The sequence below is a fragment of the Homo sapiens genome, chromosome 20 (genome assembly GCF_000001405.40).
Source record: "Homo sapiens chromosome 20, GRCh38.p14 Primary Assembly".
NCBI lineage: Eukaryota > Metazoa > Chordata > Mammalia > Primates > Hominidae > Homo > Homo sapiens.
In genome coordinates this window covers 25,381,520-25,409,443 of record NC_000020.11, presented here as the reverse complement: position 1 = coordinate 25,409,443, position 27,924 = coordinate 25,381,520, and the positions used below count along the sequence as shown (strand labels likewise).

Genomic DNA, 27,924 nt, shown 5'->3' with positions numbered 1-27,924 from the left:
AAGTCATGTTTGCTTCATGTCTCTAAAACCCAAACACTGATCTCAGTGCCACTGACCTGACACAGTTCAGACCACACACCTCTCACCTGCTCTATCAGCCACCCAGTAGCCATCTCCCTGTCCCATTCTTTCCTCTCTTCAATCCATTCCCCATATTGCTGCCGCAGTTACCTTCAAAACACAAAAATTACCCTATCACTTCCTTGTCTAAAATCCTCTACCAGCTCCCAGCATGCCTTATAAGTGAACAACAAATTCATGTAGGCTGTGAGCCACCTTCCTAGACTCCCCACAGGCCCTATTGGTCACCCTCTCCAGTGTGACCACGTGACTTTGTGCTGCAGCATCCTTTGGCTGGGATGCCTCGCTTCCTTCTCAGATCAGTAACCTCATCCTTGAGGATGGAAAGGCTCATATATCACCTCTTCTACCCCAGCTCATACTGGTGTTTCTCCTTCGTGCTCCTTGCTATACCTCCTTAGTATCACTTAGCGTGGTGAATTCTATTATCTGTTTTTGTGCCCATCTTCCAGCAGAATGTGTCCTGACATCCACATAATGCCTGCTCTATGACGTAAGTGAAATATACAATTTAGAGTGCAGGCTCTGGAGCCAGAGTGCCAGGGTTCAAATCCTAGCTTTCTTGCTGTGTCACCTTAGGCAATATACTTAAATCTCCCCAATCCTATGCATATATAGCTGAAAAAAGTAGAAAACAATAGTTTAAACATCAAAAAGTTATTTTTGTTTTGTTTGGGACAGGGTCTCCCTGTCACTCAGGCTGGAATGCAGTGGCAGGATCAAGCGATCCTCCCGCCTCAGCCTCCCAAAGTGCTGGGATTACAGGCAGGAGCCATGGTACCGGGCCCTCAAAGGGTTATTAGAAAGACAAAAGATAATGTACATGAAGTGCTTAGCACTCTCCCTGGGGTAGCAGTGATAGAAAAATACAAATAATCATAATATTAATAGTAACAGCAGCAGCAGGAGAAAAGTAATATTAATAGCTAACACTGACTCAGCCCTTACTGTATGTGAGGCATATGCAGAGACCCTTACACATGCCACTCATTTTGCGTCCACTACATCATGCGTTGGGTACTATTATTGTCACCATCCCCATTTTTGCGTATGAGAAAACTGAGAGCACAGAAAGCTTGAGTAACTGCCCCAAAGTCACACTACAGAACCAGAATCTCAGCCAGGTTCCAGAGGCCTAGCTTTTACTGACCACGATTAGATGCCTGAGTGAGCAAGAAATGCTAAATTATCAGGCAACCTGTAAATATTTTAAGGGACCGGAACAAATCTGTCCAAGGAAAACTGCTAAAATGCAAAATTTGCTCAGATGAGGAAATTCACCAAATCGCTGGGTAGCGTAAGCATGAATGCTTTCTCTTTCCTCCTGAATTTTGTTTTGCTGCTTCCCAAGTTTTCCGGAGCTCGGAGGGAACAAGGTGCGAAAGTGAACCCTGACGGGGAGCCGCCCCGCCCCAGAGCCCAGGGCCCAACGCCGGCATGCCCCGTCCAAGTCTACCCGCCCCTCACGTTGAAGGCAGGCAGTTGCCCTTCGGGCGCGCGATGCAGCTCGCGGATCAGTTCCATGGCTTTTTCGCAGAACATGGCGGACGCTTCCCACTCCCGCGGCCTTGCCAACCACCAGCTCTCACGCCAAAATGGTATCTGGGCTCTCGGCGCCTCACTCCTTTCGTTCTAGTCCTACAGCGCCAGGCTCTCGCCTCGGCCTCCGCTCCGCGCTTTGGCGCCGAACAAAGCTAGCCAATAGGAACGCGCCTACGGCGCCCGAAAAGGGACATCCACCGCTCAGCCGCATTCCAAGAGGGGCGGAGTGGGAGGGGTCTTTCCAAGGTGAGGTCCCCGCCCCGGAGATGGCAGAACCCCTCGGCTGAGCAGAGACGGCTTTTCCAGTTCTCAGGCAGTGGGCCGGGGGACTCTACGGGCAGCAGAGCTGGAAATAAATGCACGCCCCGCAGCTTCCTTGTCATTTTCCTTTTGATTCATTCATTCTCGTTTAGGTTCAAGAAAAGAGCACTTTGAGGTTAAGAGGAAAGGCCCAAAAACTTGGTGTGCATTGGTAGGACGCAAGGGTTTCAGTTTTGCAGTGCGGGTTTTCTGTTTGATATTAAAATGAAACTCTCTTTTATTGGGTACCTAGTGCTGGTAGGGACTGCAGTGTGTATTTCATTCCCACAATTATCTCTGAAGTGTTTTAAGACCCGGGATTAATAAGGAAACAGAAGTTAGGTAACTTGCCCAAGGTCACACAGCTCCAGAGTGATTAGACTGTTATTTAGGCTTTCCATTTCCAACACCACAGTACCACCCTTTGATTTTAAAATAGTCTTTTAAAAATATTTGTAATATCTGCCCTAGATTAATACGAATTCACTAGGAATTTTCTTGGCTAGATGGTTATGGAATATTTCTTAAGCATATGGAAGATGGGAATCACTGCTAAAGAATTGTTTTATTAGGCAATTTTTCAAAAAGCAATGTTAATTTCTAACAAGCAATCTTGGATTTTTTTTTTTTTGAGATGGAGTCTCGCTCTGTCGCCCAGGCTGGAGTGCAGTGGCGCGAACTCGGCTCACTGTAAGCTCCGCCTCCCGGGTTCACGCCATTCTCCTGCCTCAGCCTCCCGAGTAGCTGGGACTACAGGCGCCCGCCACCACGCCCAGCTAATTTTTTGAATTTTTTAAGTATAGACGGGGTTTCACCGTGTTAGCCAGGACGGTCTCAATTTCCTGACCTCGTGATCCGCCCACCTCGGCCTCCCAAAGTGCTGGGATTACAGGCATGAGCCACCGCAACCGGCGCAATCTTGGATTAATTCTAGCTAACCCTAGAAACTATGTTGATCTTTTGCAAATATACAGTAGATATGTCATCTAAGGAATGGGCATGGGAATGGCCTACTCAGGCTTATGTTGAATAATGACATTGCCTTTTTTTTTTGGAGACAGGGTCTTAACTCCCGTTACCCAGGTGGAGTGCAGTGGCGCCATCTCAGCTCACTGCAGCCTCCACTTCCCGGGCTGAGGTAATTTTCCCCCCTCAGCCCTCTGAGTAGCTGGGACTACAGGCTCAGGCCACCACACCTGGCTATTTTGTATTTTAAGTAGAGACAGGGTTTCACCATGTTGGCCAGTCTGGTCGACAACTCTTGAGCTCAAGGGATCCGTCCGCCTGGGCCTCCCAAAGTGCTGGAATTACAGCGTGAGCCACCGCACCCAGCAAACATTGCCTTTTTGAAACCGCCTTTGAAAAAATTATAATAGAGAAAATTATTACAGTGAAAGAGATCTGACCTAACTGGCTCCATCTTGCTTCTAACCGCCAAGCCATCCTTGTTCATTCCTGGGCTTAGGGCGAATTAACTTGGGGAGAAACTTAGTTTATAGTTTAATTTTGAAACAAATACTTAGCCCTTTACCAAAGCGAAACCCTTTTTGTCTGGGGACTAGATTGCCTTTGCAGGAGTAACAGAGTAGCCACAAGACTAGAAATTTACGAGTCTCGCAGCGGGAGGCTACAAGATTCTAAAACCTCCCCAAGTGCTCCTAGGGATAGCAGCACTATTATAAAACCTAAGACCAGTGCTTGAGATATTTTGTAGACCCTGCACTTGATGGGATCAGCTGGCACCACCCAGATCGATAAACTGGCTCATCTGGTCTTGTGGTCCCCACCCAAGAACTGACTCAGCCCAAGAGGACAGCTTTGACTCTCTATGATTTTATCTCTCATCCAACCAATCAGCACCCCTCACTTTGTGACCCCCTACCCACTAAATTATCCTTTAAAATCCCTATCTTGGAGTTTTCTAGGAGACTGATTTGAGCGATAATAAAACTCCAGTCTCCTGTACAGCTGGGTCTGCGTGAATTAAACTCTTTCTCAGCCAGGCCCAGTGGCTCACGCCTGTAATCCCAGCACACTGGGAGACTGAGGCGGGTGGATCACCTGAGGTCAGGAGTTCGAGACCAGTCTGGCCAACATGGTGAAACCCCATCTATACTAAAAATGCAAAAATTAGCCTGTCCGGGCATGGTGGCTCACACCTGTAATCCCAGCACTTTGGGAGGCCAAGGTGGATGACCTGAGGTCAGAAGTTCAAAACCAGCCTGGCCAACACAGCGAAACCCCATCTCTACTAAAAATACAAAAAAATTAGCTGAACATGGTGGCACACGCCTGTAATCCCAGCTACTCAGGAGGCTGAGGAAGGAGAATTGCTTGAACCCAGGAGGTGGAGGTTGCAGTGGGCCGAGATCTCACCACTGCACTCCAGCCTGGGTGACAGAGTGAGACTCTGTCTCAAAAAAAAAAAAAAAAAAATTAGCTGGGCCTGGTGGCACATGCCTGTAATCCCAGCTACTTGGGAGGCTGAGGCAGGAGAATCACTTGAACACTGGAGGCGGAGGTTGCAATGAGCTGAGATTGTGCCATTGAGCTCCAGCCTGAGCGACAGAGCAAGACTCTGTCTCAAAAAACAAACAAACAAACAAACAAACAAAAAACCAAAAAACTCTTTCTCTATTGCAACTCCCCTGTCTTGATAAATCAGCTCTGTCTGGGCAGTGGACAAGGAGAATCCCTTGGGCAATTATATTTTCATCTCTACAGTAAGGAATAGTTTATCTAGGTGTTTTTCCCAAATACACAACTCTAGACTGGACTATGCTGCAGGACTGAATCAAAGACCAGCATGCACTACCCTCCTCAGCCATAGGCCTTTTTAATTTCAGCCCAGAGGCAAAGTTCATTAATGACCCCAAGACTCACTTCCTTAACAGTAGAATGAGAACAGTGGAACCACCTCTAAGGAGTTAAGATGATTCAGTCATACCTTCTGCAAATATTTATGAAATGCCTAGTGTTGAAGTTAAAACCAAACTCTAAAATATTTAAAGAGATTTATTCTGAGCCAATGAGTGACCATGGCCCAGGAACAGCCTCAAGAGGTCCTGAGAAAGCGTGCCTGAGGCAGTGCAGTTACAGGTTACAGGTTGGTTTTATGTATTTTAGGGAGACAGGAATTATAGGTAAAATCATAAATCAACACATGGAAGGTGTACTTTTGTTCAGCCTAAAAAGGTGGGATATCTTGAAGCAGGGAGCTTACAGATTTTCTGATTAGCAATTGGTTGAGTCAAGTTTTGTCTAAAGACTGTCAATAGAAGGAAATTATTGAGTTAAGGGGGAGGTTGTGGAGACCAAGTTTCTTGTTATGTGGATGAAGCCTCATAGGCAGCAGCCTTCTGAAAGAATTGATGGTAAATGTCTCTTTTTGGATCTTAAAAGGTGTGTTAAACTCTTGTTTAACCTCTCCTAGATTCAGGAAAGACCTGGCTGCATTAACGGAGATTCTTAACAGATGCAAATTCCCCACACAAAAGATGGCTTTCCAGGGCCATTTCAAAATATTTCAAAGAAATATATTTTGGGGTAAAACATCTTGATTTCCTTCAGAGTCTGCTATCTGTCATGTGATGCTACATCAGTCAGGTTGGAGTTTGGACCTTATTGCCACAAAGAGTGTGTTTGTGAGTCTTAGGATCTTTATTTTAATGTTAATGCTGGCCAGTTGCACCTATACTCCAAAAGGGAGGGGGTACAACAAGGTGCATCCCATCTTGCTTCTTGTCATAGCCGATAATTCCATTTTTGTTTTTTTTCAGGTTTCCCTGGGGTCCCCTTGGCCCAGAAGGGGTCCATCCAGTCAGCAGGGGATGGAGGGTTTGGGATTTTATTTTTGGTTTACACTAGTATTAGCCTGGCATTGACCTAGATACTGAAAATAAAGCAGTAAACAAAGTCCTTTCTACAGAGTCTACATTCCAGTGTGGGAAAACGCAATACACAGATACACTGATAAGAAATATATTGGTGAAAAAGCACTAAGAATAACCCAAAGAAGATGAATAGAGTGAAGGTGAAAGAGTCAGGGTTTTGAGTTCAAGTGTTCAGAGAAGGCACAGACCTGAACAGGGAGAAAATAACCCAAGTGGTTATGGGCCTTAGGGAAGGCAGGAAATTCCAGGCAGAGGAATCAAGCTGCAAAGGCCCCAGGAAGGTCGGCTGAGGATGAGCAAAGAGGCAGTGATGCTGGAGCAGGTTGATGATAGGAGAGGCCAGCAGTCAGGTCAGATGTTGGGAGCTGAAAAGGCCAAAGGGATTGTGACCAACTCAGCATTCCACTGGAGGCTATATTATCAAACAGCAAACTGTTTATCAAGAATGCAGGATGTGAGCAAACTCACACTGTGCCTGCCACCAAAAGGTTGGCTGAGGGCCGCGCTCCCTGGTGCCGGGCTCCTTGAAGTTATCTACGGAGAAATCTAGTGCCTATTGTTCAAAGGATGCAGTCTCGCAAGCCTGCTGTGAACCAAACAGCTGACTGACAATTACCCGACAATCACCCCCCCCATTTATCACTATCTGTTTTGCCTAATAAATATGGAGGGCTGTGTAAAGCTCAGGGCCCTTGTCCACTAGAGGCAAGGTGCCCCTTGACCCCTTCTTTCAAATATACTCTTTTGTCTCTTGTCTTTTATTCTCACATTCACCGCCCCCTTTGTTCAGTCCCCCTAGGTTCATGCAGGTTACAGGTGGCACCCCCGATCAGCGACAGAATCAGGTACTCTACAAAGTGGCGCCCAAACAGGGACTTCAAGGACATGAAGAAGAAGGTCTGCTGGAGCAGAGGAACTGAAATTGACAAGGTGAACGGGGATCCCAGGGTGAGTCTGCCGGTAGCGGATATAAGGTTAGTGCCCTAAAGAGGTACTGGGAGCAGTGCTTTAAAGAAGTACTGGGAATGGGAAGTTTTCTGAATTCAGGGTAACAAGGGGCAGAATTTGTCTATTAAAGAAAAACATTATGTGCAGTTGCTTAAAGTTCGGTTGAGACAGTCTGGAGCTCAGGTTAATTCGCAGGCACTAACTAACCTCCTGCAGAAGCCACAAAAGGTATTACACATAACCCATGGTTTCTACAGGTAGGCACTCTTTTTTTTTTTTTTTTTTTTTGAGACAGAATCTTGCTTTGTTGCCAGGCTGGAGTGCAGTGGCGTGATCTCGGCTCACTGCAATCTCTGCTGCCTGGGTTCAAGTGATTCCACTGCCTCGGCCTCCCAGTAGCTGGGACTACAGGCGTGCACCACCACACCTGGCTAATTTTTTGTATTTTAGTAGAGATGGGGTTTCACCATGTTGGCCAGGATGGTCTCGATCTCCTGACCTCATGATCTGCCTGCCTCGGCCTCCCAAAGTGCTGGGATTACAGGCATGAGCCACCGCGCCCAGCCACCAGGCAGGCACTCTTGATGTGGAAAATTGGGCTAAAGCAGGAGAAGGATTAAAACAGACTCATCAAAAAGGTCCTAAAGTTGATTCTTCTGTTTTTTCCACTTGGAGTTTAATTCGTACTGTACTTCTGCCATTATCTCCTTATTATTCTGTGGGGGAGCAGGCTGAATCTAAAAATCTGAAAGAATCTGTTGTCCCACCCACAGCGCCAATTGAAAATAAAAAACGGAGGAGGATAAAAATTGGCCTATACTGCCTCCTCCAGTTGCAGAAACATCTGTACTGCCTCCTTCAGTAGCAGAAATAGAGACCCCAATACAAAGATTTTTACACTCTGCTGCCATAGCTGGAGAGCCCTTAGAACCCTGTGCTTTTCCTATTTTTGTAAGGTCTGATCCAAATAATCCACAGCAGGTTATTCATGAACACACTCCACTAGAGTTTAAGTTGTTAAAGGAATTAAAAGCAAGTGTGGTAAATGATGGCATACAGAGCCCATTTACCTTAGGATTGCTAGAATCCGTGTTTGGTGCTATGAGTCTTTTACCCTTTGATGTAAAACACTTGGTGCGAGCTTGCTTGTCCACTAGCACATATCTGACATGGAATTTAAATTAGCAAGAAATGTGTGCAGACCAGGCTAGACAGAATCATGTTGCTGGACATGGAGACATTACAGAGGATATGCTATTAAGTAATGGCCCTTATTCAGACCTGGAACATCAAATGGCACTCCCAGACGCTGCTTATCAGCAGTGAACACAGGCCGCTAAAGGTGCCTGGGCCACAATTCCTGAAGACGGAGTCCCAGTACAATCCTTTTTACATATCATGCAAGGGTTGCAAGAGCCCTATGAACATTTTCTTTTTTCTTTTTTTCTTTTTCTTTTTTTTTTTTTTGAGACAGAGTCTTGCTCTGTTGCCCAGGCTGGAGTGCAGTGGCGCAATCTCGGCTCACTGCAAGCTCCACCTCCCGGGTTCACGCCATTCTCCTGCCTCAGCCTCCGGAGTAGCTGGGACTACAGGCACCCACCACCACAATTGGCTAATTTTTTGTATTTTTAGTAGAGATGGAGTTTCACCGTGTTAGCCAGGATGGTCTCGATCTCCTGACCTCGTGATCTGACCGTCTCGGCCTCCCAAAGTGCTGGGATTACAGGCGTGAGCCACTGCACCTGGCCACCCTATGCACATTTTCTTGCAAGACTGCGAGAAGCAGTGAAGCGCCAAATTCCTCATACCGCAGCTGCAGAAATGCTAATCTTAACTCTAGCTTTTGAGAACGCAAACACGGATTATAAACATGCACTGGCACCGGTGAGGTGTACAAAAAACTTGGGAAATTTTCTCAGAGCTTGTCAGGACGTGGGAACTGAGCTTCATCACTCTGAAATGTTAGCGCAAGCAATGGCTAATTTAGCAGTTGACAAATCTAAAAGGAGCCAAGGGTCAAACCCTAAAATGGGAAAATGTTATGATTGTGGAAAAACTGGACATTTTAAAAAGGAATGCCGCCAGATCTCAGGACAGAAAGGACCTTACAATACAGTGCCCCACCGAGCGGAAAAAACGCCAGGACTTTGTCCTTGCTGTAACAAAGGAAATCACTGGGCTAATCAGTGTCGCTCAAAATTTCATCAGAATGGGACCCCCATGCCAGGAAACGAGACGGGGCCTGGACCCGGGCCCCACAAACAATGAGGGCATTCCCAGCCCAGACTTCAACCCCGTTTCAGGGATGAGTTCCCAGAGGCACTTGATTCCCTCACCCCAGGAACACCACAAAGTGCAGGATTAGATCTACCCGCCAGAGAAAGAATCACGTTAGTAGGGGGAGACAGACCTATCAAAGTTCCCACTGGTATTTGGGGACCTTTACCAACAGGATACATGGGACTAATTTTAGGCAAAAGCCATCTTAACTTGCAAGGCATCACTGTAGTCCCAGGAGGGATTGACTCTGATTATGAAGGAGAAATTCAAGTAGTTTTAATGTCACAAGATCTTTGGGTTTTTGAACCGGGAGAATATATTGCTAATTATTGCTTATTCCCTGCAAATTACACCCTTCTCCACGAAAGGAGAAACAAGGAAATAAAGGGTTTGGGAGCACAACTACATGGGAAATCTATGTATCCCAACCCATAGCCTCTAACAGACCTGCTTGTGTAGTACAAATTAAAGGAAAAAAATTTTATGGGCTTATGGATACAGGAGCTGATGTATCACTAATCTCTAAAGACAACTGGCCCCCATCCTGGCCCTTGCAATTAACTTCTATGTCCCTAGTGGGAGTAGGCACAGCTCAAAGTGTTCAACAGAGCCCTGAGATTTTGTCTTGTCTTGGTCCAGATGGACAGTCATGTACTTTTCAGCCTTATGTTGCAAATATAGCTATCAATTTATGGGGTCAAGACTTACTTACAGCATGGGATATGAGACTTACAAATGAAAACTTCGATAACCCAGGATTTAAAATGTTGAAGAACACGGGATATCAGAGGGGAAAAGGTTTAGGAAAATTTCAAGGAAATCCTAACCCGATATCAGTAACTGGAAAAACAGAAAAGGGCTAGGACATCAGGATTTCTGATGGGGGTCATTGATATTTCTCCTCCACCCACTACCTTACCATTAGAATGGCTCAGTGACAAACCCATATGGGTAGATCAATGGTCCCTATCTCAGGAGAAGCTGACACAACTTCAGCAGCTAGTGAAAGAACAATGGGATGCCGGACTCAGAGAGGAGTCAGCCCCTGGAATTCTCCAGTGTTTGTTATTACAAAAAAGTCCAGAAGATGGCGACTGCTACATGATTTAAGAGCTATTAATGCACATATAAAACTGATGGGTGCCTTACAAAAAGGTTTACCATCTCCAGTGGCTATTCCAAGAGACAGGCCTCTTGCAGCAATAGATCTTAAGGATTGTTTCTTTACTATGCCCTTACACGGCAAGGACGAGCCTCGGTTTACCTTCTCTGTGCCTTCTATTAATCAAAGAGAATCTGTTTCTCATTATCAATGGAGAGTTTTACCCCAAGGCATGCTTAACAGTCCTATGCTATGTCAGCCTTTCGTAGGGCAGGCATTAGAGCCTCGGAATACGTTTCCTACTGCTTACATCATTCATTTTATGGATGATATTCTTTTGGCTGCTCCTACAGATCAAATCCTACAACAGTTATTCAGAGAAACAAAGAAGGCTTTGACTAAATGGAGTCTCCAAATAGCTCCAGAAATGGTACAAACAACTTCCCCATTCCAATACTTAGGAACTATTGTTAGAGAGAAGTTTACGGCCTCAGGAAGTAGTTCTCCATAAAGACAGGTTACAAACTTTAAAGGATGTTCAGCAATTATTAGGAGATATTAATTGGCTATGGCCAATGTTAGGTATTGTTACCTATCAACTTACACATCTTTACCAAACCCTGCAAGGAGATTCTTCTTTAAATTCCCTGCAGCAATTAACTAAAGAGGCAGAAGCTGAATTATGGCTTGTAGAGCAAAGGTTACAGCAGAGACATGCCTCAAGGCTACAGCTGCAAAAACCCTTGCTTTTGTTTATTCTTCCTACCCCCCCACTCTCCAACAGGACTTTTGGGACAGTTCATAGACAAGTCTGTAACAATAGAATGGCTCTTTTTACCTAATCAAACAGTCAAAACCTTGCAAGTTTATTTTTCTTTAATTACACAAATTGTGACTATGGGCAGGCATAGGTCAAAAATGCTTATGGGATATGACCCCGACAAAATTATTGTTCCTTTAGACTCCCAGCAACAAGCCAAAGCTTGGGAAATGTTGACTGCCTGGCAAACTGCTTTTGCAGACTTCGTGGGTGCTATAGATAACCACTACCTCTCAGACAAAATTTTACAGTTTTATAAAATCCATTCTTTCATTCTTCCTGTGATTACTCATCACAAGCCTATTCTAGGTGGACAGACTTATTTTAGTGATGGCTCTTCCAAAGGTTGTGCTGCTATCTATGGACCAAAACATACTCAAACAATAATGACCTCTGGGGTTTCAGCTCAACACTCAGAGCTAATTGCAGTCATTCAGGTTTTACAGCTCACAGCTCAGATCCCATCAACATTGTCTGTGATTCAGCTTATGTTGTAAATGTAGCCAGTTGCATAGGAACTGCTACAATTAAAAGTACACTAGACCCAGAACTGCTTCGCTTCTCTTCCCTTCCCTTCCCTTCCTTTCCCCTCCCCCCTCCCCCTTTCCCTCTCCCTTCCCCTCCCCCTTCCCCCTTCCCCTTTCCCTTCCCTTTTCACTTTTTTTTTCTTTCATTTTTGAGACAGAATCTCGCTCTGTTGCCCAGGCTGGAGTGCAGTGGCATGATCTTGGCTCACTGCAACCTCCGCCTTCTGGGTTCAAGCAATTCTCCTGCCTCAGCCTCCACCACCACGCCTGGCTAATTTTTTTGTATTTTTAGTAGAGACGGGTTTCACCATATTGGCCAGGCTGGTCTCCAACTCCTGACCTTGTGATCCTCCCACCTCGACCTCCCAAAATGCTGGGATTAGAGGCGTGAACCACCACGCCCAGCCGGCTTAATTTATTTGTAAGACTTCAACAAGCTATTCGCTCTCCTGAAGCTCTTTTTCATATTTCTCATATTCACTTTCACACACAACTTCCTGGGCCACTATCTCTAGGTAATGAGAAAGCAGACAAGCTGATTGGTTCTGTGTTTCAGCAAGCTCAAGTGTCTCACATGCTTCTGCACCAAAATACTGCCGCCCTTACTCGCATGTTACCTTTATCTCGCAGCCAAACTAGGGCTATAATACAAGCCCGTCCTACTTGCCAGCATGTCCCTAGAGCCACACCTGTAGAAGGCTGTAACCCACGAGGTTTGGCTCCAAATGATATTTCGCCAATGGATATTACACACATAGCAACCTTTGGTAAGCTTAGCTATGTTCATGTAACTATAGACACTTATTCTCATATGCTGCATGCTACATGCCAAACATGTGAGACAGCTGGTCATGTACAGTGACATTGTCATCATTTGCTCACATGGGGATACCTAAGCTATTAAAAACTGACAATGAACCCACTTATACTAGTCATGCTTTTCAAAATTTCTTATAGCTTTGGGCTATAATCCATAAAACGGGAATTCCTTATAATCCTAGAGGACAAGGCATTGTAGAGCGGGCACATCGAACATTACAATGCATGTTGAAAATACAAAAAGGGGGTATAGGAGGCCAACTACCACCTCAATCAAAACTACATTTAGCCTTATTTAAATTTTTTGACTCCTGGTACGGATGGTAAGACTCCAGCAGAAAGACATTGGCAAGTGTTAGAGGAAAAGAGGAAAGTTTATCTGAAAGTGTTATGGAAACCCCTGGAAGAAGGAAAATGGAAAGGTCCGGTGGATTTACTGACATGGAGAAGAGGGTATACTTGTGTTTTTACAGGAGATGGACAAACTGTGTGGGTGTCCTCAAGGTGCACGCGACCATGGAATAGGAGACTGGAGGAACCCAGGGTGGCCAACCATGGGCCCGGCCCCTCCGATACGAGCCATGAGCCAGCTGAGCCTGACTCCAAAGATGGAGAGAAGGCCAAGCAGAGTGATGATGACATCAATCCCCACAACCTGGGGAGAACTCAAGAAAACCACGTGGGAAGCTGAGAAACTACTGGAGCATCAGTGACAGGCAAAAACCCCTGATTCCATGTTCTTGGCCATGTTAGCCATAGTGTCCCATGTGGTATGTTTTCGCTGTGCAGAGGCAAAAACATTGGGCATACGTTCTCAATCTCCCAGCAGTACGACCTATACTTTGGAGCGACACTCCTCCTGAGATTTATCATGATCAGGGAGAGTAGGCTCCAGGACCCCTAACTCCCCCTGACATAGAACAGTTAGACTCTCAGAATAATGTCATTAATTATACTGCTCCACTGGAAGGACTTCCTTTGTGAATCAACACAAAGATGTCGCTCAGCCATAGCTGTCTTACAATTCAAGCTCAAACATGGTTGAATCATTATGGAAAAATTATGTACTTATTAAGTCTTGGTTCTATTAACCAACCTTTCCCGGCCCAATCGCCCTAATTGTGCTGATTATATGGAATGGATTCCATTCAGTAGTTCCTACCCCCCTCCGTGGACCCAGTGTCTTGGTCCACTGGCTAGAAAACAATCTATGTTAACTGGAGACATTGTGGATTGGGAACCTAAAGGTCAATTAGATCGAAAAGATGAAAATCAGAAATCATGGCACAAACTTCATTGGCATTGGTGGCAAGCTTTTAATGCTTCTTCTTTATACAGTACTGGGATCCAATCCCAGTCTGCCACCCAGATTGCTTGGCATGGAGCAGGCTTTAGCCCACCTCTTCCTCAGTGGCATTATCTAGGGAGGAAAGGACCAATTCAAGAGACTATATGGAAGGCAGCACTCCCATGTATGAATGGCAACATCTGGACTGGAATACTATCCAATAATAGCAATAGTAAGCAACACAATCTTAATGTTGCATTTGTAAAGAATATCACCACTCAATTTACAGTTTTTGTTTTTAATTCTTATGTCTTTTTGGCAGCTAAGAAGAACCAGCTCCAGGTAAACAATACCCAATTGACCTGTAAATCTTGCCAGTTTTATCACTGCATTAATCACAGCACATTGCAAACACATAGTATTTCTACCTTGATGATTCTGGGTCACATCCCTGGGCTATGGATTCCTGTTAATCTGTCTGAACCTTGGGCTGCCATGCCTGCTTTGCATTTTGTGAAACTTCTTCTAACTCAGCTTACGCATCGTGTCTGTAGAGACTTAGGCATAATTTTTGCTATTGTTTCCTTAGTCACACTAATAACTTCTGTTGTGATGTCCTCTGTAGCTTTGCATAATTCTATTCAAACAGCTCAGTACCTGGAGAACTGGACGCGCACAGCTGACCAACCGTGGCTACTTCAGAATAAAATTAACACTGAGTTACAAACTGAAGTGGCAATGTTAAAATCCACGGTCCTTTGGTTAGGAGAAAAAGTACAGAGCTTGCAGTTGCAGCATCAGTTGCATTGTCATTTTAACCACACTCATATTTGTGTAAACAACTAAGAATATAACCAAAGTGACTATCCATGGGACCTTGTGAAAGCCCATTTACAGGGAGCGTTCACATCCAACATCACCTTTGATATTGGTGAATTACAAAACAAAATTCTTGTTTTAAATAAGCAAACTCAAAAATTTCAACCTGCTTTAGAAGACTGGACCAAATTCCAGCAACGCCTGGCAAGCCTCAACCCTTGGACCTATCTAAAGCACCACATTAACAATTTATATGTAGTTCTTGGAATAATGTTGTTTTGTCTCTGTCTTCTGCTCATAGTCTGTAAAATCGGACGGACTGCCAATCAGAGAATGAGAGATGCCCAGCCTGGCCTTACATTCTTTCAATTAATACATAAACACAAAGGGAGAGATGTTGGGAGCCAAAAAGGCCAAAGGGATCATGATCAACTCAGCATTCCACTGGAGGCTATATGATCAAATAGCAAACTGTTTATCACTATCACGAATGCAGGATGTGAGCAAACTCACACTGCGCCTGCCACCAAAAGGTTGGCTGAGGGCCTCACTCCCTGGCACGGGGCTCCTTGAAGTTATCTACTGAGAAATCTAGTGTCTATTGTTCAAACGATGCAGTCTGGCAAGCCTGCTGTGAACCAACCAGCCGACTGACAATTACCCCACAATCACCCCCCATTTATCCCTATCTGTTTTGCCTAATAAATATGGAGGGCTGTGTAAAGCTCAGGGCCCTTGTCCACTAGAGGCAAGGTGCCCCCTGACCCCTTCTTCCAAACATACTCTTGTCTCTTGTCTTTTATTCTCACGTTCACCACCCTTTGTTGTTACCCTAAGTCCATGCAGGTTGCAAGTGGCACCCCTGATCAACGACAGAATCGGGTGCTCTACAGTCAGGGAGGGCCATGTTAAACCCTTTTGTAAGCCTTGGGTTTTGAGTGAGATGGGGAGCCACTTAGGTGTTGTGAGCAAATAAATGACAGAATTAGACCTTGTAACAACAAGAAAACCCTATGTGGCAGCTGAATTAAGTGGACAGAAGTGAGGCAAAGTGGAGGCAGGAGACCAGTTAGGCTATTCAAATAATGGAGGTGAGAGATAACAGCAGTTTGGCCCAGGGTGGGGACCATGGAGGCGGTAAAATTTAATGGTTAAATTCTCATAGATTTTGAAAGCACAGCTGACAAGGCTTGGTGATAGACATGCTATAGCACAAGAAAGGAGAAGTCAAGGATGACCCCAGAATTGTGGCCCCAGGAACTGCAATAGAATTACCAGAGAAGGTCATGGATGGAGTTGGGGGTGGGAGAAGAGTTGGGAGCTCAGCATTGAAGTGGTGCTTGTCAGAAATCAGAGCAGAAATGATGAGGAGCCTAAGGGTCAAGGAGAGGTGTGGACCAATGATAAAAATGTGGGCATCACTAGCATGGGCTCAACCACCAAGAGTTGAGCACTGTGTGGGCAGGGCCTCGTGCCTGTAAGAAAGATTCAATACACGGTACAGATTTTTCCTCTCCAGCTCTTCCTTCCTTGTTTTTTTTTTTTTTTTTTTTTGGTTTGTTTGTTTGGTTTTTTTGAGTCGGAGTCTCACTCTGTCGCCCAGGATGGAGTGCAGTGGTGCGATCTCCGCTCACTGCAAGCTCCGCCTCCCGGGTTCACGCCATTCTCCTGCTTCAGCCTCCCAAGTAGCTGGGACTACAGGCGCCCGCCACCATGCCCGGCTAATTTTTTATATTGTTATTAGAGAGACGGGGTGTGAAACCGTGTTAGCCAGGATGGTCATGATCTCCTGACCTTGTGATCCGCCCGCCTCGGCCTCCCAATGTGCTGGGATTACAGGCATGAGCCACCGCGCCTGGCTGTTTTTTTTTTGTTGTTGTTGTTTTTTTAATTGAAGTGAGCGATAGAGTCAAAACCTCTTTTTTTTTTTTTACGTTTTAGTTATTTCCTAGATTTCCAATCTCTCCAGGATGTGTTACTACATCACTATAAAGAATTTATAATTTACATTCCATAGTATGTTTGTTTGTTTATTTTGAGATGGAGTCCTGCTCTGTCACCCAGGCTAGAGTGCAGTGGTGCAATCTCGGCTCACTGCAACCTCCGAATCCCAGCATCCCGGGTTCAAGCAATTCTCCTGCCTCAGCCTCCCAAGTAGATGGGATTACAGGCGTGCGCCACCACACCCAGCTAATTTTTTTGTTTGTTTGTTTTTGAGAGGAGTCTCCCTCTGTCGCCAGGCTGGAGTGCAGTGGCACAATTTCGGCTCACCACAACCTCCGACTCCCTGGTTCAAGCGATTCTCCTGCCTCAGCTTCCCAAGTAGCTGGGAATACAGGCACGCGCCACCATGCCCAGCTAATTTTTTTTTTTTTTTTTGAGACAGAAGTTTGCTTTTGTCCCCAAGACTGGGGTGCAATGGTGTGATCTCAGCTCACTGCAACCTCCGCCTCCCAAGTTCAAGCGATTCTCCTGCCTCAGCCTCCCAATTAGCTGGGATTATAGGGTTGTGCCACCATACCTGGCTAATTTTTGTGTTTTTAGTAGAGACGGGGTTTCACTACATTGGCCAGGATAGCCTCAATCTCCTGACCTCGTGATCCGCCCGCCTCGGCCTCCCAAAGTGCTGGGCTCACAGGCGTGAGACACCTCGCCCAGCCTTTTTTTTTTTTTTTTTTTTAAACAGAGTCTTGCTCTGTCACCCAGGCTTGTGCCACCACACCCGGCTAATTTTTGTATTTTTAGTAGAGACGGAGTTTCACCATGCTGGCCAGGCTGATCTGGCCTCCATCTCCTGTGCTTAAATGATCCACCCACCTCCGCCTCCCAAAGTGCTGAGATTACAGGCATGAGCCACTGAGCTCGGCCCATAATGTTTTTAAAAAGTATATCTGGAGATATTGACACAATTATGAATGCAGGCTGTAACACTTAGTAATATGGTCAATAAATTATTTTGCAATTTCAAAGTATCATTACAAAACTAATTTAAAAAGCAGCCGGGCGCGGTGGCTCATGCCTGTAATCCCAGCACTTTGGGAGGCCGAGGCGGGCGGATCACGGGATCGAGAGATCGAGACCATCCTGGCTACACAGTGAAACCCTGTCTCTACTAAAAATACAAAAAAATTAGCCGGGCATGGTAGCCGGCGCCTGTAGTCCCAGCTACTTGGGAGGCTGAGGCAGGAGACTGGCGTGAACCTGGGAGGCGGAGTTTGCAGTGAGCCGAGATCGCGCCACTGCACTCCAGCCTGGGCGAGAGCGAGACTCCGTCTCAAAAAAAAAAAAAAAAAAAAAGAAAAAACTAATATAAAAAGCTGTTGAATTTCTAAACGCATTTCCAATTGACCTTTATCAATTGCCAATAGTTTTCAAAGTGACAAATGCTGAAATTTCTAACGTTACTTTGGAATAAGCAAATATCTCTCTTTGTTATAGATCATCTGTAAAACTAATGCCATATTGAAGAAAGCCAAAGTTATAAAACTAAATTTGTGAAACAGCCCTTTATTCTTTCCTTTTCTCTTTCTAGGATGGGTTGAATTAGTACTAAATTTGGGTTTCATAAGGGCGAATTTATCTTTGAAATGGATTTTCCTCCCATCAGGTAGTCTTAATTGCTTTATAAAAATCTAAAATCTAACACAGGTTTTTAAAAAGTAAATTTTTCAAGCAGTTCATTTCCTGATGTTCGGCCCAAAAGTAAACACTGAGTATATACATTTACTTCAAATTAAAAACTGACGACCGGAAAGCATACTTTTAAAGGTAATGTCCTTGTGGAAAAAGAATTAAGAATCACGAGAACGGAACTGCTATTTGCTACCTCTGGTTTTCCGTTCACAGAAGCACGAGGAGCCCAGCGCTGCGGCTCTGCCTCGCTGGGCCACCCCTTTCGGGCACGACCGGGAGCGGGTGCTCCTCACACCGAGCGCCCGGGCGAGCACAGCTGCAGCCTGCGGATGGAGCCCAGAGCCCTGCCCTGCAGATGACGCGCCGCTGCAGCTTCGCCCACCCTCCCACAAAATGGCTGCGGGTGGCGCCAGGGATGCTGGGCGCGCGCTCCTTGGAACTAGAGAGGAGGTGGCCGGGGCGGGGCCGGGGGAGGGGGGTAGGGCAGAGCCGGCGGGAGCCCGGCGCTGATTGGCCGGCCTGGCTGGCGGGCCCCCGCCGCTGGTTCGTAGCCGGCGCAGCGGCCTGGGCTGGGATGTGAGGAGCGGCGGGTTCCGGGCTCCGGGCTCTGGGTGGCGGCGGCTGTGAGCGGCGGCACTGCGGCGCAGGCCAGCGGGCGCCGTCGGCGGCTGGCCCTGTCGGCCGCGGGATGAGGAAGCGGACCGAGCCCGTCGCCTTGGAGCATGAGCGCTGCGCCGCCGCGGGCTCGTCCTCCTCCGGCTCGGCCGCCGCGGCGCTGGACGCCGACTGCCGCCTGAAGCAGAACCTACGCCTGACGGGCCCGGCGGCGGCTGAGCCGCGCTGCGCAGCCGACGCGGGAATGAAGCGGGCGCTGGGCAGGTGAGGCTTCGCGCGGAGCGGGGGGGGGGGGGGGGCCGGTCCCTCACTTTGCGCAGGTGCGTCCCGCAGGGGGCCGCGGTACCTCCCAGCCCCTCCCAGAGTGGCCGTCCGCCCGATCCGCGGCCGCCCCCGTCCGCGCCTGTGTCCCGCATTTGGCCCGCGGCAGCCCCACCCCCGCTCCCTTCCCCAGGCACCGCGGCGGGAGCGCCCTGCCCTGCCGCTGACCCCCTGTGTCCTGCTCCGGCCCTCTCGCCAGGCACTCCTGGCCTAGCCTTGCACCCCGACCCTTTCCCGGGGAAGCCGGGGGGACCCTTACGCTGGGGGCTTGGCGCCGCCCGAAGTCATGACCCCGCGTGGGAGAGCAGGGTAGGGGGTGGGGAGTCCTTGGAAGATCCCTGGACGCCAGGCACAGCAGAGGCGGGAGGCAGAGGGGCCGGCGCCAGACCCTGAGAGCGCTGGGGCCCACTCGGACCTCCTCCTCCTGCTCTGCATCAGGCCCCACACCGAGCGCCCGGGCGGGCGCCCCTCGGGCTGGGCTGCGTGCGCGGAGCCTTACTGGCGCCTTGGGCCCTCGGCGGCTCTCCCCGGTAACTAGGGTCGGGGGCGTGCGTCGCTCAGAACTCGGGGACCTTTGGGGAAGGGCTCAGTGGGCGGCGGGGTGCTAGGGGAAGGAGGGACTCGGAGCATCGCAGCCGTCGGAGGGAAACCTGCCCTTCGCTCTGCTGGTGATGGTTCGTGGTACTTGAAATCTGTCCGCACAAGTTCGCCTCCTTGGGAATCATCTCGCAGTCCTGAGTCGTTTGGTTATTGGCGTTCAATAACCTTTGGGTTATTGGGTAGAAGATGAATGCGTTTATATAAAGCCACTTTCAAAACTGAGATGGGAACGTGTTTCATAGGGACAGATTTCTCCTCCCATCTGCTGGTTTCCTAATTATCTGGCTGTTGTAGAACGTAGCATTCCTGACAGCTTTGAAGCCTTGCTACTTCGTGGTGGTTTGAAGAAGTTACTATATGATGATCTCAGGCGTTGTAGCAGAGGCACTTCTTTTTTGACCATCTGGAATGCCCTTAGTTGACGCTGGCCACTTGAGTGTAAAATATGCGTATCGCTCCTAAGGAAAAGTAGAATTTCAACTTCATTGCTTAAAAAAATCATGAAATTAAACTATAGACACTTCTAAGTCGATGGTTTGACAGAAGGGCGGAGACTGATAGTTTTGTGTCTTTATGTGTAAAATTATGTAGCATCTGATCAATATCTTTTGTGAAACTAATCTGTTCTCTTTGCTATGGAAAGATTTATCTGCATTAAAAACTCATGATTTAACTTTAATACAATTTTATTAACAGACATGGCATAACGCTTAGATAAATTGGAAAATTCTTCCTTCGAAAAAATCAAATTGCCGGGCGCGGTGGCTCACGCCTGTAATGCCAGCACTCTGGGAGACCGAGGCGGGCAGATTATCAGAGGTCAGGAGTTCGAGACCAGCTTGACCAACATGGAGAAACCCCGTCTGTACTAAAAATACAAAATTAGCCGGGCGTGGTGGCGCATATGCCTGTAATCCCAGCTACTCGGGAGGCTGAGGCGGGAGAATCGCTTGAATCTGGGAGGCGGAGGTTGCGGTGAGCCAAGATCTCGCCGAACCGAGATCGCACCAGTGCACTCCAGCCTGGACAACAAGAACGGAACTCCGTCTCAAAAAAAAAAAAAAAAAAGAAAAAATCAAATTGTTTTACACAACGTTTGGGGAAACAGCGGCGACCTGGCACCTTCTTGAAGAATGTACTGTATTAAAATTACCCGATTAATTTTTATTTTCGTGTCAGGACAAAGAGAGACATTCCAGTGGTGTCCATATCCTTTGGATAAGCAAAAGGCTGTTAGGGGTAAAAAGCAAAACAAAGGGAAAGAAGACCAAATTTGTTAGGTTGTCTTCCTTCCCAGCTGGCTGTCTCAGACATCCTTGAGCTTTCTTCTCTTCCTCGCTCAGGCTCTGCGCCACCATCACCTCCTCCTCACTGAGGCCTTCTTAGACCAGCCCACTCCTGTCGACCTTGTTATCACTCGAGATTGTAATTTTTGCTCGTGTGCCTCCCCCGCAACCAGAATGGAAGCGCCATGAGAACAGGAGCTTTGTTTTCTCCACTTAAGTATCTCCAGTACCTGGCACGTAGTAGGTAGCAGAAAATACTTGTTGAATGAACAAATATCCATAGAACAGATATCCATTGCGCCACAGAGCCGGCTCGTTTGTGTCTTTTATGATCCTTCTTTGGATCCTTCCGCACATTTTTTAAACTCTTTATTGTCGACATACGTGGAAGTAGAGAAGACAATCTAATGAGCCTTCTTCATGTGTCCATCACTTAAAAGTTTTCAGTGTTTAGCCAATTTTGAATCATCCATCCCTCTTCTCTTTTTTTTTGTAGGATGAAGGATTGGATTTTTTTTTTTTTTTTTTTTTGAGAAGGAGTCTCGCTTTGTCGCCCAGGCTGGAGTGCAGTGGCAATCTCGGCTCACTGCAACCTCCACCTCCCAGGTTCAAGCAATTCTCCTGCCCCAGCCTCCTGAGTAGCTGGGATTACAGGCGCCCGTCACCGTGCCTGGCTAACTTTTGTAGTTTTAGTAGAGACGGGGTTTCACCATGTTGGCCAGGCTGGTCTCGAACTCGTGACCTCGTGATCCACCCACCTCGGCCTCCCAAATTGCTGGGATTACAGGCGTGAGCCACAGCGCCCGGCCTGGAATATTTTTAAACAATTTTTTTTTTAAGAAAGTTCCGTCACCCAGGCTGGAGCACAGTGGCATGATCATGGCCCACTGCAGCCCAGACCTCCTGGGCTCAGGCGATCCTCCCATATCGATGCTGGGTGTATGCCACCACTCCTGGTTAATTTTTTTTTTTTTTTTTTAATAGAGATGAAGTCTCACTATGTTGCCCCCAGGCTGGTCTTGAATTTCTGGCTTCAAGCGATCCTTCTTCCTGGCCTCCCAAAGTGTTAGGTATGAAATACCGTGCCAGGCCTAAATTCTCCTGCCTCAGCCTCCCGAGAAGGTGGGATTACAGGCATGTGCCACCACACATGGCTAATTTTTGTATTTTTTGTAGAGATGGGGTTTCACCATGTTGGCCAGACTGGTCTCCAACTCGTGACTTCAAGTGATCTCCCTGTCACGGCCTCCCAAAGTGTTGGGATTACAGGTGTGAGCCACCATGTCTGACCTCTTTTTCTTTTCTGATTGCATTGTATTTCTAGAACAAAGTTAAATAATAGGGATGACACTGAGTAACTTGTTTCATTCCTGACTTTAATGAGAATGCTGTTAGTGTTTTTGCCATTTAAGTGCCATGCTGGGGTGTGTTGCTAATGTTGTGGGGAGCTTTTTGTTTTTGTTCCTGCTCCCTCACTGATGTTTTTAAAATAAAAAATGGTGATTGAGTTTTCTCAAATGCCAGTGTACATCTGTGGAATGATCATAGAGATTTTCTTCTTTTATCTGTTAACATAATGAGTTATAGTAATGGATTTATATTATTGAATCATCATTGTATTCCTGGGATAAACTCTCTTATTGTATAGCCAGATTCTATTTATTCATTTATTTTTTATTTTTATTTTTTGAGGCGGGGTTTCACTCTGTTGCCCAGGCTGGAGTGCAGTGGCACGATCTCGGGTCACTGCAACTTCTGCCTCCCAGGTTCAAGCAATTCTCTGGCCTCAGCCTCCCGGGTAGCTGGGATTACAGGCACCTGCCACCATGCCCGGCTAATTTTTGTATTTTTAATGGAGACGGGATTTTGCCATGTTGACCAGGCTGGACTCGACCTACTGACCTCAGATAATCTGCCTGCCTCAGCCTCCCAAAATGCTGGGATTATAAGGCGTGAGCCACCGCACCTGGCCTATTTATTAATATTTTATTTTGAAATTTTACATCATGAGGCCGGGCTCGGTGGCTCACGCCTGTAATCCCAGCACTTTGGGAGGCCGAGGCAGGCTGATCACGAGGTCAGGAGATCGAGACCATCCTGGCTGACGGGTGAAACCCCGTCTCTACTAAAAAATACAAAAAAAATTAGCCAGGCGTGGTGGCGGGCGCCTGTAGTCCCAGCTACTCAGGAGGCTGAGGTAGGAGAATGGCATGAATCCGGGAGGTGGAGCTTGCAGCGAGCCCAGATTGCACCACTGCACTCCAGCCTGGGCGACAGAGCAAGACTCCATCTCAAAAAAAAAAAAAGAAAGAAAAAGAAATTTTACATCATTTGTGAGAATAGTCTGTAATTTTCTCTTATGCAACCTTTATCAAGTTGTTTTAGTGTTTTCTATAGCTTTGTAAAAAGTTTCTTACATAACATTTTATTCTAAACTTTTATTTTTATTATTATTATTATTATTTTTTTGAGACGGAGTCTCGCTGCATCACCCAGGCTGGAGTGCAGTGGCGCGATCTTGGCTCACTGCAAGCTTTGCCTCCCGGGTTCACGCCATTCTCCTGCCTCAGCCTCCCAAGTAGCTGGGACTACAGGTGCCCACCAACACACCTGGCTAATTTTTTGTATTTTTTTTAGTAGAGACGGGGTTTCACCGTGTTAGCCAGGATGGTCTCAATCTCCTGACCTCGTGATCCGCCTGCCTTGGACTCCGAAAGTGCTGGGATTACAGGTGTCAGCCACCGCACCCGGCCATTTTATTCTAAACTTTTAGCCAGCTTAAGAATTTTTTAAATTATTTGTTTAAAATTTGGTAGAAATTCTCTTGTAAAACTGTCTAAGCCTGGTGCCTTTCTATTTATTTATTTATTTATTTATTTAAATTTTTTGGTACAGGCAGGTCTTGCCACGTTGCCTAGGCTGGTCTTGAACTTCTCTCTCAAGCAGTCCTTCCACCTCTGTCCCCCAAAGTATTGGGATTATAGGCATGAGCCACCACCCTAGCCAGTGCTGTTTCAGAATATAGCACTTCGGTAACTACTACAGTGTCTTCTACGTCTGTTTAGAATTTGCTATGTCCTGGTTTCAGTTTTGGTGGTTTATGTATTCTTATAAAATTACCAATTTAATTCACCTTTTCTCCTCTGTAGCTATGGCCATTTCCCTAGTTTTCTTCCCTGTTTTTTGTAATTAGGGTTTTTCCTCCGTTTTCCTCTTTTTTTTTTTTTTTTTTTTTTTTGAGTCTCACTCTTGTTGTCCAGGTTGGAGTGCAATGGCATGATCTTGGCTCATTGCAACCTCCGCCTCCCAGTTTCAAGCGATTTTCCTGCCTCCGCCTCCCGAGTAGCTGGGATTACAGGTATGTGCCACCACACCCAGCTAATTTTGTATTTTTAGTAGAGACAGGGTTTCTCCATGTTGGTCAGGCTGGTCTCAAACTCCCAACCTCAGATGTTCCACCCGCCTTGGCCTCCCAAAGTGTTGGGATTACAGGCGTGAGCCACCGCGCCTGGCCTGCTTTTTCCTCCTGATTTAGGCTAGTCAGTAATATATCTAATATCCATACATACACTGAAGTGGGGAAATATATATACACACACACATACACACACACACATGTTTTGTGCTCCATCAAAGAAAATATCTCTTTTTAGTTCTGGGGGATGCTGAGAAGTGGAGAGAACAGGTTCTTTCTGAAGGGGACAGCAGCTACCACACCCTGTCCTGTTGCTGCCTGGCAGGAATGTGGTCCCAGAGTGGCCAGATTGTCCAGTCTTTCTGGAAAAGACTAGCTGGTGTTTTTTTTAGTTTGTTTTGTTTTGTGTTTGAGATCGGGTTTGGCTCTACACCCGGACTGGAGTGCTGCAGTGCAGTCATGGCTCACTGCAGCCTCTGCCTCTCAGGGTCAAATGGTCTTCGCACCTCAGCCTTACAAGTAGCTGGGACTACAGGCACCCACCACCATGCCTAGCTAATTTTTGTATTTTTTGTAGAGACAGAGTTTTGCCATGTTGCCCAGGCTGGACTTGAACTCCTGAGCTCAAGTGATCCACCCGCCTAAGCCTCCCAAAGTGCTGGGATTACAGGCATGAGCCAGTGCACCCGGCCTTTTGTTTGTTTATATAGTTTTTTTTTTGTCTTAGTGTGTGTGCTTGTGTGTGTGTGTGTAGTATTGCCAACTTTTTTAACATTGGTAAGTAACTCAGATGAGAACAATTTTGGAGGTTAAAAAAAAAACCCCAAACCAGTTTTTTTTGTTTTTAAATTCTGGGCCAAAAGATAATTTTTAAAGGTAAATATTTATCTCATTCATAGGTCAACTCTGTACTCCTTGAGACGAGGAACTAGATCAGTTTTGCTTTGCATGGTATCTGGTGTGAGGAGGTACTGGGCAAATGAGTGATTTTTTTTTTTCTTTTTTTTTTTTTTGAGACAGAGTCTCACTCTGTCACCCAGGCTGGAGTGCAGTGGCGTGATCTCGGCTCACTGCAACCTCTGCCTCCCAGATTCAAGCGATTCTCCTGCCTCAGCCTCCTGAGTAGCTGGGACTATGGGCGCCCGCCACCATGCCCGGCTAATTTTTTTTCTTTTTTTTCTTTTTTTTTTTTTTTTTTTTGAGAAAGAGTCTCCCTCTGTTGCCCAGGCTGGAGGGCAGTGGCGTGATCTCGGCTCACTGCAACCTCCGTGTGCCAGGTTCAAGTGATTCTCCCGCCTCAACCTCCCGAGTAGCTGGGATTACAGGTGCACGCCACCATACCTGGCTAATTTTTTGTATTTTTAGTAGGGACGAGGTTTCACCATGTTGGTCAGGCTGATCTTGAACTCCTGACCTCATGATCCGCCCACCTTGGCCTCCCAAAGTACTGGGATTACAGGGGTGAGCCACTGTGCCCGGCCTTAATTTTTATATTTTTAGTAGAGACGGGGTTTCACCATATTGGCCAGGCTGGTCTTGAACTCCTGACCTTGTGATCCGCCTGCCTCGGCTTCCCAAAGTGCTGGGATTACAGGCGTGAGCCACCGCGCCCAGCCCAAATGAGGGATTTTGTGGGCCTTTCATTAGCCCTGGAATTGTTGGGAATGTGCATTGAAGGCATGACTGGTCTAATTTGGACCCTGAGAAGGCAGTCATGAGATGTACACGGTCTGTGTGTTACCTAGTCTTTATCCTCCAACTCCCAACCGACAGGCCAGATCTGCTGGATTGACAGAGATCAGTGGGCTGCATGGGAGGTTTCATAGCCAGATCACCCTCATACGTAAATGCCAAAGAACATAGTCATCACACCTATTTCTTCCTTTACCCAAAGAAGATACTTTATCCAAGGTTGCTAATGGCTTCCCCCTAACCCAGAAGAGTGGGTGGCTGAGGTTAACATCTGTCTTCTTCAGTGTCAGCCTTCCCGAGGTTCAGTATCAACCTCACCCTCTAAGTGTCCCTGTATGGTATCTCTTCATCTTTTCTTTACAGATTAGGAAGATGGGAGCGAGTTCTGAGCTAGCTTTTGTGGTTAAAGTCTGCTTCATCCATCTCCTTTTTCCTTTTGCTCCACCCTCAGTACAGTCTGGGCCAGGACTGTGACAAGGCATGGGGCTGGCTTTGTTTATGGCGCCATAGCTGGCCCCCCCCCTCAACTGGTACTGGTTTTCCTCTTCCTAACTCAGTGTACCTTATCAATGCTGCACTCCAGCCAGGGACTGGCCACACTGGGACTTGGTGCTTTGCCACTGCCTTCTGCTTTATTAGGACTCTGCATCCTGTATCTCTGCTTGGTTCCTAGTTCCTTTCAGCCACAGTGACCCTTCCCAAGGGAGTGTCCGCCTTCTATGGTGACTTTGGCAGACAGGCCTGAACTGTGAGGGGTATCTTTGGGCAGGCTGAAAGCACCTGAGGCACTTTCATGGAGGAAGCCTTGGAGAGAGGCATGGAAGATGGGTCATCTTGTCAGGTTTGTGCTAACAGCGATGGAGACAGGACCTCATTTCAGACTCCCGCTGCTGCAACTTCTCCTCCTCTTCGTTCCCCTCCTTTCTCTCCTCTTCCATTAGAACACTTGTCCTTCCAGAGTGAAATCTGCAGGGAAAATGTTTATTGAAATATAACCTCAAAAGCTGACAGATGAAGTCAATGCTCTTCACCCAGAGATGACGCCACAGGACTTTGGTCTCAGTGTGCTTGTGCTTTGGCAGGGGCCCTTTCAGCATGAGAGTGGGTAAGCCATCTATCTCGTGCCACACCGAGAGCCAGCGTCTAGAGTGTCAGTCAGTGAACAGGGGCCAAGAGCCAGGATGCCGGAACCAAACTGTCCCATTACCAGCAAGACTTCTCATTTAGGCCTCAGCCCCTTTGTATTGTGATTTACTGCTTCAGAGGATAGCCTTCATAGAGACCCAGGTCTCAGGTGAGTTTTCAGATTCTCTGGCTTGGGTGAGTTGTGTAACACTCTGAGTTTGTTTCTTCATCTGTGATGTAGGGATAAGAGTGTCTTCCCTGTAGGATTGTGGTGAGGCCCAGGTGTGTGGAATGTTCCTGGCACATGGTGAGTGCTTGGTCAGTGACATCTTCTAGATGACTAGCCCCATGATGATTATAATATTAAGAGCTCAGGGTACTGGCCAGTGTGGTGGCTCATGCCTGTAATCCCAGCACTTTGGGAGGCCGAGGCAGGCAGATCACTTGAGTTCAGGAGTTCAGGACCAGCCTGGCCAACGTGGTGAAACACCATCTCTACTAAAAAGACAAAAATTAGCCAGGTGAGGTTGTGAGCACCTGTAATCCCAGGTGAGGGATTATCTCCTGTAATCCTGGGAGGCTGAGGCAGGAGAATCGCTTGAACCCAGGAGGTGGAGGCTGCAGTGAGCCGAGATTGCACCACTGCACTCCAGCTTGGGTGACAGAGCGAGACTTTGTCTCAAAAACAAAACAAGGAAAAAAAAAAAAAAAGAGGGTACTGAGAAAGATCTGTTAGCTCATGTCTAGAAGGATTTTCTTCTACCCTTTTCTGCCCCAAACAATTAAGAGTCTGGCTTCTCAGCCAGTCGTGCATATAG

At 46.9% G+C, this 27,924-nt stretch overlaps 2 protein-coding genes and 1 long non-coding RNA gene across 14 annotated transcripts in view, besides 7 other annotated features; 2 read left to right on the top strand and 1 right to left on the bottom strand.

Moving 5' to 3' along the window:
* The window catches only part of GINS1 (GINS complex subunit 1), a 40,891-nt gene extending 39,120 nt beyond the window's left edge, over nt 1-1,771 (bottom strand). For all 7 annotated transcript variants that reach the window (NR_134574.2, XR_007067484.1, XR_244227.5 and 4 more), the window contains exon 1: nt 1,549-1,771. Coding sequence is in view for 4 of the 7 variants with exons in the window: in NM_021067.5 (NP_066545.3) it covers nt 1,549-1,623 (75 nt within the window). In the remaining 3 variants the exon portion in view is untranslated. The remainder of the gene's footprint in view (nt 1-1,548) is intronic.
* Nucleotides 625-1,382: an enhancer, noted in NCBI's record as "NANOG-H3K27ac hESC enhancer chr20:25388698-25389455 (GRCh37/hg19 assembly coordinates)". NCBI's record gives its function as "activates a minimal SCP1, AML or CMV promoter by ChIP-STARR-seq in naive H9 embryonic stem cells {active_cell/tissue: H9 hESC(naive)}" and the evidence as "EXISTENCE:reporter gene assay evidence [ECO:0000049][PMID:30033119]".
* On the top strand, nt 1,149-14,794 carry LOC105372581 (uncharacterized). The gene is made up of 3 exons (XR_937403.3): nt 1,149-1,373; nt 6,607-6,764; nt 14,721-14,794. It is a non-coding gene; the product is annotated as an uncharacterized LOC105372581 (long non-coding RNA).
* Nucleotides 1,480-1,729: an enhancer, noted in NCBI's record as "active region_17669". NCBI's record gives its function as "activates an Ori minimal core promoter by ATAC-STARR-seq in GM12878 lymphoblastoid cells {active_cell/tissue: GM12878}" and the evidence as "EXISTENCE:reporter gene assay evidence [ECO:0000049][PMID:35858748]".
* Nucleotides 11,324-11,524: a silencer, noted in NCBI's record as "peak4176 fragment used in MPRA reporter construct". NCBI's record gives its function as "represses an SCP1 promoter by STARR-seq MPRAs in K562 erythroleukemia cells {active_cell/tissue: K562}" and the evidence as "EXISTENCE:reporter gene assay evidence [ECO:0000049][PMID:32103011]".
* Nucleotides 18,480-18,899: a silencer, noted in NCBI's record as "silent region_12752". NCBI's record gives its function as "represses an Ori minimal core promoter by ATAC-STARR-seq in GM12878 lymphoblastoid cells {active_cell/tissue: GM12878}" and the evidence as "EXISTENCE:reporter gene assay evidence [ECO:0000049][PMID:35858748]".
* ABHD12 (abhydrolase domain containing 12, lysophospholipase) overlaps nt 18,609-27,924 on the top strand; it is a 96,093-nt gene continuing 86,777 nt past the window's right edge. For all 6 annotated transcript variants that reach the window (NM_015600.5, XM_047440090.1, NM_001042472.3 and 3 more), the window contains exon 1: nt 18,609-18,931. In NM_015600.5, the coding sequence (NP_056415.1) occupies nt 18,741-18,931 (191 nt within the window). In that variant the 5' untranslated portion in view covers nt 18,609-18,740. The remainder of the gene's footprint in view (nt 18,932-27,924) is intronic.
* Nucleotides 18,940-18,989: a silencer, noted in NCBI's record as "silent region_12751". NCBI's record gives its function as "represses an Ori minimal core promoter by ATAC-STARR-seq in GM12878 lymphoblastoid cells {active_cell/tissue: GM12878}" and the evidence as "EXISTENCE:reporter gene assay evidence [ECO:0000049][PMID:35858748]".
* Nucleotides 19,030-19,189: a silencer, noted in NCBI's record as "silent region_12750". NCBI's record gives its function as "represses an Ori minimal core promoter by ATAC-STARR-seq in GM12878 lymphoblastoid cells {active_cell/tissue: GM12878}" and the evidence as "EXISTENCE:reporter gene assay evidence [ECO:0000049][PMID:35858748]".
* Nucleotides 19,360-19,519: a silencer, noted in NCBI's record as "silent region_12749". NCBI's record gives its function as "represses an Ori minimal core promoter by ATAC-STARR-seq in GM12878 lymphoblastoid cells {active_cell/tissue: GM12878}" and the evidence as "EXISTENCE:reporter gene assay evidence [ECO:0000049][PMID:35858748]".